General features: G+C 41.4%; 1 long non-coding RNA gene across 1 annotated transcript, besides 4 other annotated features; it reads left to right on the top strand.

Annotated features, from left to right (window-relative positions):
• Positions 1,836-2,339: an enhancer, noted in NCBI's record as "OCT4-NANOG-H3K27ac-H3K4me1 hESC enhancer chr5:114705457-114705960 (GRCh37/hg19 assembly coordinates)". NCBI's record gives its function as "activates a minimal SCP1, AML or CMV promoter by ChIP-STARR-seq in primed H9 embryonic stem cells {active_cell/tissue: H9 hESC(primed)}" and the evidence as "EXISTENCE:reporter gene assay evidence [ECO:0000049][PMID:30033119]".
• Positions 1,883-7,897, top strand: LOC105379130 (uncharacterized). Its single transcript, XR_948686.1, has 2 exons — positions 1,883-1,957; positions 6,800-7,897. It is a non-coding gene; the product is annotated as an uncharacterized LOC105379130 (long non-coding RNA).
• Positions 2,340-2,843: an enhancer, noted in NCBI's record as "OCT4-NANOG-H3K27ac-H3K4me1 hESC enhancer chr5:114704953-114705456 (GRCh37/hg19 assembly coordinates)". NCBI's record gives its function as "activates a minimal SCP1, AML or CMV promoter by ChIP-STARR-seq in primed H9 embryonic stem cells {active_cell/tissue: H9 hESC(primed)}" and the evidence as "EXISTENCE:reporter gene assay evidence [ECO:0000049][PMID:30033119]".
• Positions 11,361-11,862: an enhancer, noted in NCBI's record as "NANOG hESC enhancer chr5:114695934-114696435 (GRCh37/hg19 assembly coordinates)". NCBI's record gives its function as "activates a minimal SCP1, AML or CMV promoter by ChIP-STARR-seq in primed H9 embryonic stem cells {active_cell/tissue: H9 hESC(primed)}" and the evidence as "EXISTENCE:reporter gene assay evidence [ECO:0000049][PMID:30033119]".
• Positions 13,410-13,911: an enhancer, noted in NCBI's record as "NANOG hESC enhancer chr5:114693885-114694386 (GRCh37/hg19 assembly coordinates)". NCBI's record gives its function as "activates a minimal SCP1, AML or CMV promoter by ChIP-STARR-seq in primed H9 embryonic stem cells {active_cell/tissue: H9 hESC(primed)}" and the evidence as "EXISTENCE:reporter gene assay evidence [ECO:0000049][PMID:30033119]".

Genomic DNA, 15,129 nt, shown 5'->3' with positions numbered 1-15,129 from the left:
GGGCCATTTTATACATTTTATGTTTAATAGAAAAGTAATAACTTTATGCTTAAATATTAGAAGAAAAGAGAACTGTAGTAAACTGTGGCTGCCATGTACAGTTGTATGGATGAGCACTGCCCAACCATAGGGCCCTCATCCATGTTACAGCCCCTAGAGGGGCACCTCTTAGATCTGGGCAGTGTACAATGTACACCAGTGTGTGCCATGGCCCTGAGTAACCTGAAGGGTTGATGAAAGTTGTATAAATGTTTCTTTACCACAGAAATATTATTTCCTATATTAGCCCTATAAAATTAGAAAAGTAGTTTATAGAAAAAAGAAAAGCAAGGGAGGGCAAGAGATTATATAAAGCATTAAGTTGGCAAATTTATTTTTTATCTACATGCTTCAAATTTCACAGGCTGAGTTAAGTCATTTTGCTGAGACATATAATAATTAGAATTATCACCTATCCACTCACATTGCTTCTCTTTATCCTCTGTTTTTTTGTTAGTCATTTTATTATACGTGATCAGGATTCATAATATTTACAGTCTATTAGGAATCATAATTTCCACAATTTCTGACATTAAATCCCACATCTAAATAGACCACCAGACCTTGTATCATGGCCTCTCAATTTTTAAATTCATATTGGTTAATTTCTTAATTGGCTCCAAAATTATCACTGGGTACTAATAATTTTATGATTTTGTTTATTTCTGTGGGATAGATTCCAAGTGTTGGGTAATAGGGTATAAGCGTTTTTTAAAATTCAGAGGCATTGTCAAATTAGCCCCTAAAAAGGCTGGATTAATTTGTGTATTCACTAACAGTCTATGAGAATATCTATATTCTTATGCCCTCACCAACCCTAAATACAATCACTGAAAAAATGTTTACTTATTTGAAGAATTGAAAAGACTATCCTCCCACAGAATCCAAGTCAGAGATAGTTACTATTAATGGTTTATTATATAGTTTCCATAGCATCTTGCTGTTATAAAACAATAAAATATAGACACGCATTTGTAACATAAAAGGGCACTTACTATACAAACTGTTCTCCACCTTGCTTTTCTCTCCATTACGGATCTTATAGAAAATCCCATATCAGCACATATTCAGCTAATTTTTAAGAGATGTACAGTATATAGATGTTCCATTATACAGGTGTTCTAATATTGATTTAATGTTCTGTTAATGGACTTGTAGGCTATTCTAGACTTTGATTTTAAATAATGCTTCAGTTACTATCTTATATCTTTCCACACATACATGAATATCTGTTGAGTAGATTCCTAGACGTGAAATTTCTGAGCGGAAAAGGCATGTGCATTTAATGTTTCGATTGATGTTGCCGACATCACCTCTAAAGAGGCTTCATCATTTGCAGGCCTACCAACAGTGCCTGAAATCGCCTGTTTCCCCATAGCCTCTGTAAAATAGTGCTCTGTCAGACTTTAGGAACACTGCCAATCTAGACATTGAAAGATGCTGTCTCAGTTTAATTTTAATGTCTACTTGTCTTATTATGAGTAGCAACGGACCAACTCTTTAGTATGTGTAAGAGGTAGTTGTACCTATTTTTCTATGAACTCTCTTCACTCATCCTTCACCCATTTTTCCACTGGTTTTCGGTAACTGCTATTTCTTTTTGATTTGTAAAACTTATCTATATATGGAGTAGATTAGCCCTAGCCATCTGTTTTGTTAATAATAGTTCCTAGTTGTAGTTTGTCTTTTGTATTTCTTTGAAGTATTTTAGGCTGTGAAGAAATTTTTTTACACTTATGTAGACAATTTTATCCATTGTTTGTGTTTCTATGTTTTATTTCTTCCTTAGAAAGGCCTTCTTCATTCCAAGATTGAATTTCAAGATTATTTTATATTTTCTTCAGGTACTTTCACTGGTGCTTTTTAAAAAATTTTATTTAAACATCTGACCCATCTGCTACTTATTTTGCAGTAAAAGGTAGGCATCCAGATTCTTTTTTCTCATTAGCCTATCAAATATTGAATAATCCCTCTTTTCCCCACTGTTTAGAAATACTGCTTTCAAGAAAATTCCAGAATTTACATCAGAAAGGTCCCAAGGAAGACACTGAGCTTAGTCATTCCCACACGTTGACTTGCAGATTGGTGCTCTGTGGGTCTCTTCAGGGTCTCACAATGGTCCCACCAAAAATACAAGTTCCTGCCCCAGGAGCTTCAGATTCTCAGAGAGAGTTCAGGAAACTGTCTTTTTGCCTCTAGCTGTTTATTTTAAAATTTTTAACCCAACAGAAACATTGTTACGGGATCCTTGGGGTGTCACTTTGCCAGCTGGAAACCTCTGTGGCCAGTGGTTCCTCTGTCCGAGTTTTGCTCGGGCCCACTGGGTTCATTCTGCCCGCTTGGCCTAGCAGGCTGTGCTCAGCTCATGCTACCGGCCTGGATCCTACACCTGCCAAGGGCAAACCAGGCACAGAGCAGCGAGGAGTGTGTGATCGAGGGTGGGGTCCAGCCACTGCACACAGCCACACATGTGGGCGGCAGTGGGGCGGGCAGCTCCAGGCGCTGGTACAGGCACAGGCTCCCTGTGAGGCTGCAGCTGGGCTAGGCATACAGCAAGCAGCTTCCATGGCTGACACCGGGCAACATGGTGGTGCCCAGAAGCTTGGAGATGCCAGGAACCACAGAGCCCTAAAGAAGGTGACACAGCCCTGGCTCCGGGAGCTCCTAGGTCTGGGCTCCCCAAAGGGCTGCAGCTCTTCTCTCCTTCTTGTCACCGGTAACATGGTGAGCAAGGACTGTGTTTCAGCCCTGTTTGGTTATAGCTCTTTGAGCCCTGCCATTTGGTGGGTCCTGAGTTCTTGTCCTACATCCAGAAAGAATGAGGTATGCAGACAAGTGGAGGGTGAGCAAGACAAACAGGAGCTTTACTGAGCAATAGAATAGCTCAGAGGAGACCCACAGTGAGCAGCTCCTCTCTGCTAGGCAGGTCGTCCCAATGAGTGTTCAGCCCTCAGCAGAGAGGGTAGCTCCTCTCTGCAGACAGGTTATCCCATCATCTCTTCAACTCTCAGCAAAGAGGGTAGCTCCTCTCTGCAGCTGGTCATCCTCTCATCTCTTCGAATCCGGCTGAGTCTGGAGCTTTTATATGCCTCAGAGGGGAGGAAGTGCGTGCAGATTGGTCCGTGGATGGCCGTGGGTGGGCCCGGAAAAAGCACCAGAAGTTCCCACTCTGGTCTGCATGATTGGCAGCCTGGCCCCCAGGCTTCAGGCCTTCCCCAGATTGAAGATGGGGCTTCACTGAGGACCTGCCCCTTTCTGCCCAGGAGCCTGTCTGCCTCCTTCCATCATCCATGGTGCCCAGGCTGTTTGTGCTGAGGGGCGCTGGCAGGCCAGCACCGAGCTGCCTTTAGCACCTCCTCGGCTTCCCTCCCATGCTCGTTGGCACCCAAAGTCTGAAGGGAGCCAAGGAAGAAGGGGGCTGGCATGTCAGCGCTGTCCCAAGTGTCTGTACACCTGGCCAGGTTGTGACAACACCCAGGCTCAGCCTCAACTTGCAGGACACAGGGCTCCTACCACTGCCAATGCTGCTCCCACAGCCACTCCTGCTGCCACTGTCCACACCTCACCACTGCAGCCAGCATGATGGTAGTGGCTGGTCCAGATGGCCCGCCACTGCCATCATCATGAAAAGTTCAATTAAAAAACTGTATAAACTTTACCTAGATTCACTGTCATTAACATTTTCTCGCATTTGTTTTATATCTCTTTATATATTTATGTGCCTATACACACACACACACACACACACACACACACGCACATCTATATTTTTGAATCTTTTGATAATTAGTTGCAAATGTAATTTCACTCCACCCTTATATGTTGACACATTTTTTTCTAAGAAAAGGATATTGACACATTTTTATTCTAAGAACAAGGATATTCACCTGCATAGCCACAATATAATTATCATGCAGGAAATTTAACAATGTAACAATACTACTATCTAGCAATCCATGTTCAAAGTTTCCCAGTTTTCCAATAATATCCTTTGTAGTTGGTTTTTCACTCAGGGTCCAATCAAGAATCTGCAATGCATTTAGTTTTCATGTCTTTTTAGTCTCCTCTAACCTAGGACAGAACCCAATCTTTTCTTTTTTTCTCTAACGACCTTGACATTTTTGTTATTTTGCCGAACGTCTCTCGATTTGGGTTTGTTTCCTCATGATTAGATTCAGATTGAGCATTTTGGGCAAGAATGCTACAGTATAATAATGATCTATGTCATACTAGGAGACACATGATGTCAGTTTGCCTCATAATTTGTGATGTTACGTTTAATTACCTTGTTAATGTGGTGTCCATCAGATTCCTAGGCAGCTATAATTTCTAGGTGCTACTCATGTGATTAGAAGTAGAACCTGGTTTAAGAGTCACTAGGTTAGTCAAATATCCTATTTAGAGATGGCATTCTCTTCTCTGGTGTCTTTCAAGGCTGGGCATTTTCCAGAAACTTTATTAGCCCCAGTAAAGGAGAATTTCTACACTTCAAGGGCAGACAGATCTTTCTTCTAGTTAAGTTCATTAGAAAATATATTTAATGCCCAAAATAAAATAATTAAAAGCAGTGACTCAGACAGATATTTGTACACCCATGTTCATTGCAGCATTATTCATAATTGCCAAAAAGTAAAAACAATCCAAATGTCCATTGATAAATGAATAGATAAATTGAGTATATACATAAAGTAGCATATTATTCAGCCTTTAAAAAGGAAGGAAATTCTGACACATGTTATAATGTGGATGGACCTTGAAAACATCATAATGTTTGATGTTCTTAAGTAAAAAAAAGCCAGACACAAAAGGATATATATCATATGATCCCATTTATATGAGGCAGCTGAAACAGTCAAATTCAGAGATACAGAAAGTAGAATGGTGATTCCAAGGGGCTGGGGGAAGGGAAATGGGGAGTTATCATTTAAAGGGTACAGAATTTCTGTTTGGAAAGATAAAACCCATGTAGACATGGATGGTGACAATGGTTGCACCACAATATCAAGGTACTTAATGCTCCTGAATTGTGCTCTTATAAATGGTGAAAATTGTAAGTTTTATGTTATATATATTTTACCACACTAAAAAACCCTTTTTTACAAACACACATTTGTTTATACCAAGAAAAAATTGCTGCTTTCTAACTCTTCTTCCTTTGTTTTGGCTTCTGGAACAATACAAAATGCACTTTTTCCTCTCTTCCTTATGATATCCTTCCAACTTGTCTCCAACCCATGCCTACACTGCCCCTCCCTGTCCACCTTCTCAACCTAGTGGGAAAAGTATAGACTTGAGTGGAAGTTTTACTTCTTCTAGATTCATTATTATTCCTTTTTAAAAGTCAGAATGGTTTAGGACTGCCTTAGGATGTTTTATTTCTTGAGAAAAGTAAAATTAAACATTCTAGTACTAAAGTGGTCCACCAATTTCGGACATAGGACAACATGTATAGTACTTGCCCACGGCTCTCCTTCTCTTGTCCTAAGCCTGCATTCCACCCTGTGCCTGCAGAGGATTATGCAGCAGCTGCTTGAAAGCAGGATGCATGTGATGATTCATATCCAGCAAGCTGTAGAGAATGCCGAGGTCTTTTATCTCCTTGAAGCATCAGGGCAGACAGAATAGAACTTGGCCAACTGGAAACAGCTTGACATTCCTTGATAGGCTCACATAACAGTTCATAGGCACAAAGACAGTTACACTTTGCCATAGCAACAAACTCATTTACCCTAGTGAGGTAGGCCTTGGCAAGGCTATTAGCTGCCCTCATAGCTTAGCAGACACTTGGCCACTAGGCTACAGGCTCTGTGGGAGGTGCCCCATGCAACTCCAAATTCAGGCCCAATGAGCAATTCAATGTCATCAGATTTCAAGCTGATCAATGGGCCCAAGGCCTGGTACTATCATAAAGAAGTCATGGAGCACATGGTGGGATGGTGGGTCTCCCCCAATCCCTCAAGGGTAATGCTCAGCTCTGTGTATTTCTGGGGAGGCTCCACCAGCCTACACTTACCAGCACTCCTTGGAGGAGTTTTGTGTCCTTTCATGGAGCAGATAGGAGAAAAATAATCAAAAGAGAGGAGCCCAAAATGAGGAGAAAAGGAAAGGATAAGGGATTCCGGAGCCTTACATAGGAACCAGTCTTTTTGCTTCTCAGGCCCTCCTGCATACACCACCTTGCAGAACAGGCTCAGGGCTGGTGTATTAGTAAGGGTTCTCCAGAGTGACAGCCCCAATAAAATGGATGGATGGATGGATAGAGGGATGGATAGATAATGGATGGATGGAGAGAGAGAGAGCACAGCCCAGGGGTGAAGAGGAAAGGGCAGGTCTTTAGCATTAATTGGAGCCAGGCTGATCCTTCAGACCCAGAGATCTAGAGTCCAGTTTAAGTTGGAGATCAGACCTTTAATGGAGAGCTCCAGACATGAGATTAGGGAAAAGAGGCCCAGTATCCTGAGAGTAAGAACCTCCTCCTCCACCCAAACCCACCATCCTCTTTCTTACCATCATCCTAGGCTGAGGGTATACTTGGTGAATTGGAAAGTTACGACTCTTTACAAAAAGGAGAAGAGGCCACTGAGCAGGAAAAGAATTGAGGAGATGACACCCTGCACCCTGGTGGTATATTTTCCTTTGGTCCATCTAAAATCATGCAAGCATTCCTTCTTTATTTTCTTTGCTTATAAATCAACTGTCTGCCCTATAAGATGGTACTTTTCTTCTTGTGACAAGCCTCCTATGTATTACTCCCATCCAGGTAACCATCACCTACTCAACTGGAGGAGACTATTTTTGTGCCCGATTTGCTTGCTGGAAACTGCAGAACTTCAATGTCTGCAGTGAAAATGGAAAGAAAAGAAAACCAGTTGTCTGCCTTGGTGATGAGAGCAGAAAGTCAAGAGCAGCAATATAGGCAGCTAACAAGCATTTAATGGTGAGGGAACAAGAGAAGGGAGGAAAGGCAGGGGGCTCAAGGTCATGGCCAAGATATGTTTTTCCTACTCAGAATTAGGTCTGGGCCTGACCATGTTCCTATAGACCAAATTCTGTCCTCCAGAAATAGGTACAGTGACCCACACATAAAAGGCATTATAAGCAAATGAGGTGCCTCTTTAATTCTTCGATGAGCTCTAAAAGTTATCTTTACAGTTTAGTTATAGTCAGAGCAACTGTTAGAGAACCTTGGTTTTTTTCCCAAAGAAAAAGAGTTGCCACTGTGAGAAATAACTGGGATTTCCTGACATTAAAAAATAATAACAGACATATTAGTCCCTTTATTGTTAAGTAAAAGAAGGAAATGGGCAGGAACCACTATGCATTGAAGAGGAAAGTATTGAGCTTCCAAATATATCCTGGGAAACATGTAATACTTCCCTGAACATAGGGAAATGTGGCTGAGATTCTCAGCACAGAAGTATGTTTGCCACATGCAAAGCACATAATAGAAGTGATAGGGACAGGGCAGAGAAATTCTAGGCAGAAAAAGATGGGTCCCCAGGGAAACCCCATCCTTATGCTGAAAAGCCTGAAACCACAGTCCAAAGTGAGAACTTATACCCCTGTTTTCCTGCTCAAATGTTGTCTTTTCCTAAAACCACCCATGGCTCCCACTCCACCCTATCCTGTGCCTATAAAAACCCCAGATTCAGCTGGTAGACAGGACTACAGCTGGACATTGGAGAGAAGCAGCTTGACTTCAGAAGGACAGCTTGATGGCATATAACTTCGGAGAAGCATCCTGCCGGAGACAGCTGGGCTTCAGAGGAAGATTACCTACCCACTCTGTCCCCTTTTCAGCTCCCCTTCCCACTGAGAGCTACTTTCATTGGCAATAAAGTCCCCTGCATTTATCATCTTTCAGTTCATTCATGCAACCTCATTTTTCCTGGATGCTGGACAAGAGCTCGGAAGCCACAATTGTGCATACAAAAGGCGGTTGCACTGGCACTCTGCCCTCCATGGGGCCTGCACAGAGTTTGCTCCTGCCAGTGCTAAAGCATCTGGCCAGTTCCTGCACCTGCTCACCTTGCACTCCCTCCCACGAAGGGTGGAACACAGTGGGTCTGAGTGAGTAGAGTTTTATCTCATGGGTGCTGAAGCAGTGGCTGGTTCCAGTGCTCATTTGGTCCAGTTCCCACACTCATTCGCTTGCATGCTCCCTCCTGGGGGGAGTTGAGAGCGACACACTGAGTAAATGAGGCACTCCTGTCGTGAGTCCCACAAAGGGGCCAGAGAAATATCCTGCTTCAGAAAGTATCCTGAAAATGAAGTGACCAGGAAGCCATGGAGACCTCCCCCAATTACTCATTGTTCTAGTAAATACTATGAGATAATGTTCTGAGCATAAGCACCCTTAAGTGACACTGCCCACCATCTTGGAACATTTAAAGCAGTGCTGGTGGGAAGTTCGGAATGAGCTGGAAAGTCACCTTCCAAAATAGGAGCACTCCAGTCCTAGACTACTCCCACTGCCCTGCACTAATTGACATCAATGCCCCCACACTGCAGTCTGCTGAGGCAAGGGAGAGGAAAGGGGGTGACACTAGCCATGAAGGAAATTCTGATTTCCTTCATGATATCTATCTAGGAACCCACGAGCTCTGCTGAATGATCACCAACAGGTGAAACCATGAGACAATATGTTGACAGGAAATTGCACAAAGTGGGGATCAAGATGGCCTTACCTGAACTCACTGGAAACTCAACATCTCTAAGAGCAAGACCACTAGACATGGATCTCCTGGTGCGGTGCCGCATCACCGATCAGATATTCTTGCCAAAACAGTTTAACCTAAATTTAATCAATCTTGTAGATCTAACTTCCAGTTTATATGAAATACATGGGTAGAGGAACGATTCCACCAAGAAGTAGTCAAAGCCATGCAACAGAACATTCTGCAAGACAATTGACCTTGTTTTTCCAATACATCATTGGGATTAAAAAGTAAGAAAAAGAAGTAGGAGGAGGAGGAAAAGAAGAAAAAGATGAAAGAGAAGGGTTTATTCCATATTAAAAGATACTTAAGAGACATAATACCCAAATGCGATGCACAGACCTTATTTAAATTCTGACTACTCCAAACTGATGGGGTGGAAGGGTTGTAGTTGAACTGAGGCAATCAGGGAAACTTATACATAAACTGCTATCAAATGATACCAAGGAATTGTTAATTTCATTGATTAAGATATTGGCATTGCAGTCATATAAGAAAATGTCCATAGTTTTCAAAGAGATATTCCAAAGTTTGCAGGATGAAATGAGAAGACACCTGATATTTGCTTTAAAGTACTTCAGGGAAATTAACAAAAAAAGGATAGATTAAGCAAGAATACTCTTTAGAATTCTTTTTTTTTTTGAGACAGAGTCTCACTCTGTCACCAGGCTGGAGTGCAATGGCATAATCTCAGATCACTGCAACCTCTGCCTCCCGGGTTCAAGCCACTCTCCTGCCTCAGCCTCCTGCGTAGCTGGGACCACAGGTGCGCACCACCATGCCCAGCTAATTTTTTGTATTTTTAGTAGAGATGGGATTTCACCATGTGGGCCAGGATGGTCTCAATCTCTTGACCTCATGATCCACCCACCTCGGCCTCCCAAAGTGCTGGGATTATAGGTATAAGCCACTATGCCCGGCCTATTCTTTAGAATTCTTATGACAGATGCTTTTATCAAATTGTTCCTATATGAATATACATCGTGCACGAGTAAAACAACTTTGTTCTGTGACACACACATACTCCCACACACAACTGGAAACACATTAGGCCTGCTAGCACTCACGAGAGGAGAGTAAGCATTCTTCTAGTAGCCAGAAATGGGTCTGTTCTTTCTCCATCTTTTAAAATAACGAAAACAGAATGTTTTTAGGACAGAGACAGGCAGCTCATATACGAAGAAATATGTATGGCTTTTAAAAAATGATGATTTCTTTGAAAACCCACTGATTTCAAAGAAGCTTAAAGAATATTTATCTCAGATTGGCCACTTGGAACAAAATGGAGCTGGAGTCTTCCTGGTGCTCTGGCTTTCTCCAGGACAATACAACCTACTTGTCTTATTGAGCTTCACTTTATTGTATGTTGCAGATAGCGCTTTTTTTTTTTTTTTTTTTTTTTACAAACTGAAGGTTTGTGGCAACCCTGCATCAAGCAAATCTATCAGTGCCATTTTTTCCAACCACATGCACTCACTTCATGTCTCTGTGTCACATTTTGGTAATTCTCACAATATTTCAAACTTTCACTATTATATCTGTCATGTGATCTGTGATCAGTGACCTTTGCTGTTACTATTATAATTGTCTTGGGATGCCATGAACCATCACCATATAAGATGGTGAACTTGATTGATAAAATGTTGTGTATGTTCTAACTGCTCTACCAACTGGCTGTTCCCCCATCTCTTTCCCTCTCCTTGGGCCTCCCTATCCTGTGAGATACAATAGTGTTTAAATTAGGCTAAGAAATAAAGCCATAATGGCTGCTAAGTGTTCCAGGGAATTAATGAAATTCTTAATGAATTTCTTGAATGAAAAGCTAGAAATGATTACATTTAGTGAGGCAGGCATGTTTAAAATGAGACAGGCTGAAAGTTAACCCTCTTGTGCCAAACAGTTAGCCAAGTTGTGAATGCAAAGGAAAAGTTCTTGAAGGAAATTAAAAGTGCTACTCCTGTGAAAACATGTAGGATGAGGAAGTGTAATAGCCCTATTCCTGTGGAGACCTACTGCTCAGAAGAAAAAGATTCCTTTCAAAATATTGTTGCTGATTGACAATGCACCTGGTCACCCGAGAGCTCTGATGCAGATGTACAAGATTGACTCCATATTTGAAAGAAGTTCTACTGTGGGTAAAATGTTATCAAACAGGATTGCGTGCTACAGAGAAATCTTTCAGGAAAGAAACAGTCAAGTGATGTGGCAAACTTCACGTTGTCTTATTTTAAGAAATTGCCACAGCCACCTCAACCTTCAGCAGCCACCACCCTGATCAGTTAGCAGCCTCACTGAGGCAAGACCCTCCCCCAATAAAAAGATTACAACGCATTGCAGGCTCAGATAATCACTAGCATTTTTTTTAACAATAAAGCATTTCCTAATTAAGGTATGTACATTTTTTAGACATAATGCTATATTGCACACTTAACAGACTACAATATAGTAATCATCACTTTTGTGTGCGCTAGGAAACACCAAATGTTGTATGACTCACTTTATTGTGATAATTCTCTTATTATCTAGAACCAAACACACAGTATCTCTGAGATATACCTGTAGTCCTCAAAACATCGCTTGGGCACTTTTAGGAATGCAAATTCGCCAGGCCTACCCCAGATGTATAGAATCAGAAATTCTTGGTAGCAAAGCCAGCAATCTTGTTTTAACAAACCCTCCGAGTGATTCTGTGCGTACTTACAATGAGAGCCACTGCCCTAAGCAAAGGCAAGTGTTAAGAAGGACATCAATTATCCAAATCCCTGAGAGGATCATTTAGGGCAATGCAAAAGTAATGCACTAAATGACTCATCACTCTTGTTTGCTAAGTGGTAGGAGTTTATCCAGTGGTAACAGTCTCGGATCCCTTCCCGTGAATATATCTCAGCTGCATAGCTTTGTTAGAAAGTATGGTTAACAATCCTCTTTTAATCCAGGCCTGGCCAGGAGGTTAATGTTTTCAAAGGGTTTTAAATCTGGCTGCCAACTTGTGTCCATTTAACATGGAGCCATTTCATTCATTATGCCCATCGCAGCTCCTGATTTGACTGGCTGGACTGTGAACATCATCTTCTAAGTGTTACTGAGTGTTATCAGCTGTAGAGTATTTGGTGGGTGCTTTTAGACTCAGAAGACTGAACTTTATCCACTCCTTGGCAGGCCTCCACTCAGGCATTTTTATTTATTCAACTAGTTGGTTTAGGCATAAATTGGAGGAAAATTAGAAGAGATCTATGCTTACAATAGAAAAATTTTCTTTCTCTTGATATCTTTGAGAAGTGGGAAATGTTTATTCTACAAGAAAAATATCACATTATGCAAAGGGATTAGAAACTCCCTTTGGAAAATAGAGTTATACTTCTAAAGCAGCAATCATTTAATTGCTAACTACCAAAGCAGAAAAAAGTCACCTGCTGGTTTCATGGACTTATGAAGTCAGGTCTGAGCAGGCTGAGGCTGTCACTGGAGGGTGCAAGGAACCAAGAAACCAAGTCTTTACCTTGGAGGAAATCAATGTGAAACAATCTTTAGGTTTGTGAATCCAAAAGTATCTGAGACAGGTCTCAATCAATTTAGAAAGTTTATTTTGCCAAGGTTAAGGACACACCCATGGCACAGCCTCAGGAGGTCCTGATGACATGTACCCAAGGTAGTCAGGATACACCTTGCTTTTACACATTTTTAGGGAGACATAATATATCAATAAGTACATGTAAGATTGACATTTGTTCTACCGGGAAGGGCAGGACAACTTGAAGGATCGGGGAAGGCTTCCAATTAGAGGTAGGTAGAGTTAAATATTTTTTGATTGGCAGTTGGTTGAGTTATTATCAGTAGAAAGGAATATCTGAGTTATGATAAGGGGTTGTGGAGTCCCAGGTTTTATCATGCAGATGAAGCCTCCAGGTAGCAGGCTTCAGAGATAATAGATTATAAATGTTTCTTATCAGGCTTAAGATCTGTGTCTAAGAATCCCTAAGCCTAGCTGGGAAGGTGACCGCATCCACCTTTAAACACGGGGCTTGCAACTTAGCTCACACCCAACCAATCAGGTAGTAAAGACAGCTCACTAAAATGCTAATTAGGCAAAAACAGGAGCTAAGGAAATATCCAATCATTTATTGCCTGAGAGCACAGCGGGAGGGACAATGATCGGAATATAAACCCAGGCATTCTAGCCAGCAAGGGCTACCCTCTTTCGGTCCCCTCCCTTTGTATGGGAGCCCTGTTTTCACTCTATTAAATCTTGCAACTGCAAAAAAAAAAAAAAAAAATCTGTGTTGATGTTAAATGCAGGTCATCTCTTCCCAAATGCCAAAAGATAGAAGGGTAAAATGAAGCATGTTCAACCCCCACTCCCAATCCCCCACCAATTTTCCACCCTTGCCTGAACCAGTTTTTCAGGTAACTTTGGAGTGCCCTATCTGAGAGGAGGGAGTGCATTCAGATGGTTTGGGGTGGGGCTTAGAATTTTATTTTTGGTTTACAGGTTCAAAGACATTGTTGATGTTGATGAAAAGAATTGAACTCTGTAAAACATTTGAAGAGATTTATTCTGAGCCAAATATGAGTGACCATGGCCTGTTACACAGCCCTCAGGAGGTCCTGAGAACATGTGCCCAAGGTGGTCACGACTCAGCTTGGTTTTATACATTTTAGAGAGGCATGAGACATCAATCAAATACATGTAAGAAATACATTGGTTTGATCTAGAAAGGCAGGGCAACTCAAAGCCAGGGGGCTTCCAGGCTATAGGTGAATTTAAACATTTTCTGTTTGACAATTGGTTGAGTTTGTCTAAGGACCTGGGATTGATAGAAAGGGAATGTTCAGGTTAAGATAAAGACTGTGGAGACCAAAGTTCTTTTGAAGTCTTATAGTGGCTGCCCTTAGAAACAATAGATGACAAATGTCTCCTATTGAGATCTTAGTTAATCTCTTCAGTATTGGGAAGGTCTGGAAGAAAAAGATCTTCCAGCTATGTTAATAGAGATTCTTTACAGATACAGATTTTTCCCCACAAAGAACAGCTTTGCAGGGCCATTTCAAAACATGGCAAAGAAACACGTTTTGGTGTAAAATATTTTGATTTTCTTCCTTGTCTTGCAATGTTATGCCAGAGTCAGGTTGGAAAGTAAGTCATGATATATAGGGTTAAATAAAGCCCATCTGATGAGAATTTATTATTTGTAGGGCATGACTCCCCAGACCCCTTAGATAGGAATTTGGGCAAGATAAAAAAAAATCAGAGTTTAGTCCCCATTGACTATGTAAGTCCAGTCTCATTAGGGCCATATCTGCTTGCCAAGAGGAGGCTGGAGAGAGGTAGGTCTAAATTTCTAAAAGTGGAAGCTGGATTTTTAGTAACATTTCACATGATGGGGTAAAAAGAATGTTGATCTTAAAACCTGACGGTACAAGCTTCAAGTCTCAGCTTAACACTTAGATCTGTTTGCAATAGGCGTGATTTCTTATTCTCTGAGCTTCCATTTTCTCATTTATAAAATGAGAATAATATAATAACACCTAGTTGGCAGAGGTTATGTGAAATTATACACACATACAGACATACATTTTGTTCTGCTACAGTCCTATATATATATTTTTTTGTTTGTTTGTTTTGTTTTGTTTTTTGAGATGGAGTTTCGCTCTTGTTGCCCGGGCTGGAGTGCAGTAGCACAATCTCAGCTCACTGCAAGCTCTGCCTCCCAGGTTCAAGCTATTTTCCTGCCTCAGCCTCCCAAGTAGCTGAGATTACAGGCGCCTGCCACCACGCCCGGCTAATTTTTTGGATGTTTAGTAGAGACGAGTTTTGCCATGTTGGGCAGGCTGGTCTTGAACTCCTGGCCTCAGGTTATCTGCCTGCCTCGGCATCCCAAAGTGCTGGGATTACAGGCATGAGCGACTGCTACAGTCCTGTTTTTGTAAATATTAGCTCCTATGGGATTGCTAAAGAGTGGAATAATGGTAGTACAACATGGAAGTCATGTTGGACTCTGCCAGCCTATTAGTGTTCTCCTCCATGAGTAACAGTAGCTGGTCCCAGAGTGTACCCCCACAGCTGAACATGGCAAGTGAGGAATATAGTAGTGCCTGTGATGTCCATTCACCCCTTGTTTTTATTTTTGGCTCAGTTCTACCCACTGTTCTGTCTGGAAAGTGTTCATTACATGGTTTTTCCCAATCTTTGGGCATTTTGCCCTTGCCACCATAGCTCAGCAGCCTCTACACTGTGATTTTTTTTTAATTAGGAATTTCACTTTTTTTTTACTGTGCTAATATTCTTATTAGTATTGTTCCCATTTTTGTTGATGCCCTGGTTACAAATATGCATAGATTTTAAGAGATGTGATTCTAATATTATTTTTCCCAT

This window comes from Homo sapiens, chromosome 5 (assembly GCF_000001405.40).
Source record: "Homo sapiens chromosome 5, GRCh38.p14 Primary Assembly".
Taxonomy (NCBI): Eukaryota; Metazoa; Chordata; class Mammalia; order Primates; family Hominidae; genus Homo; species Homo sapiens.
Note: the sequence above shows the minus strand (reverse complement) of the source record. Positions and strands in the feature narration are given on the sequence as shown.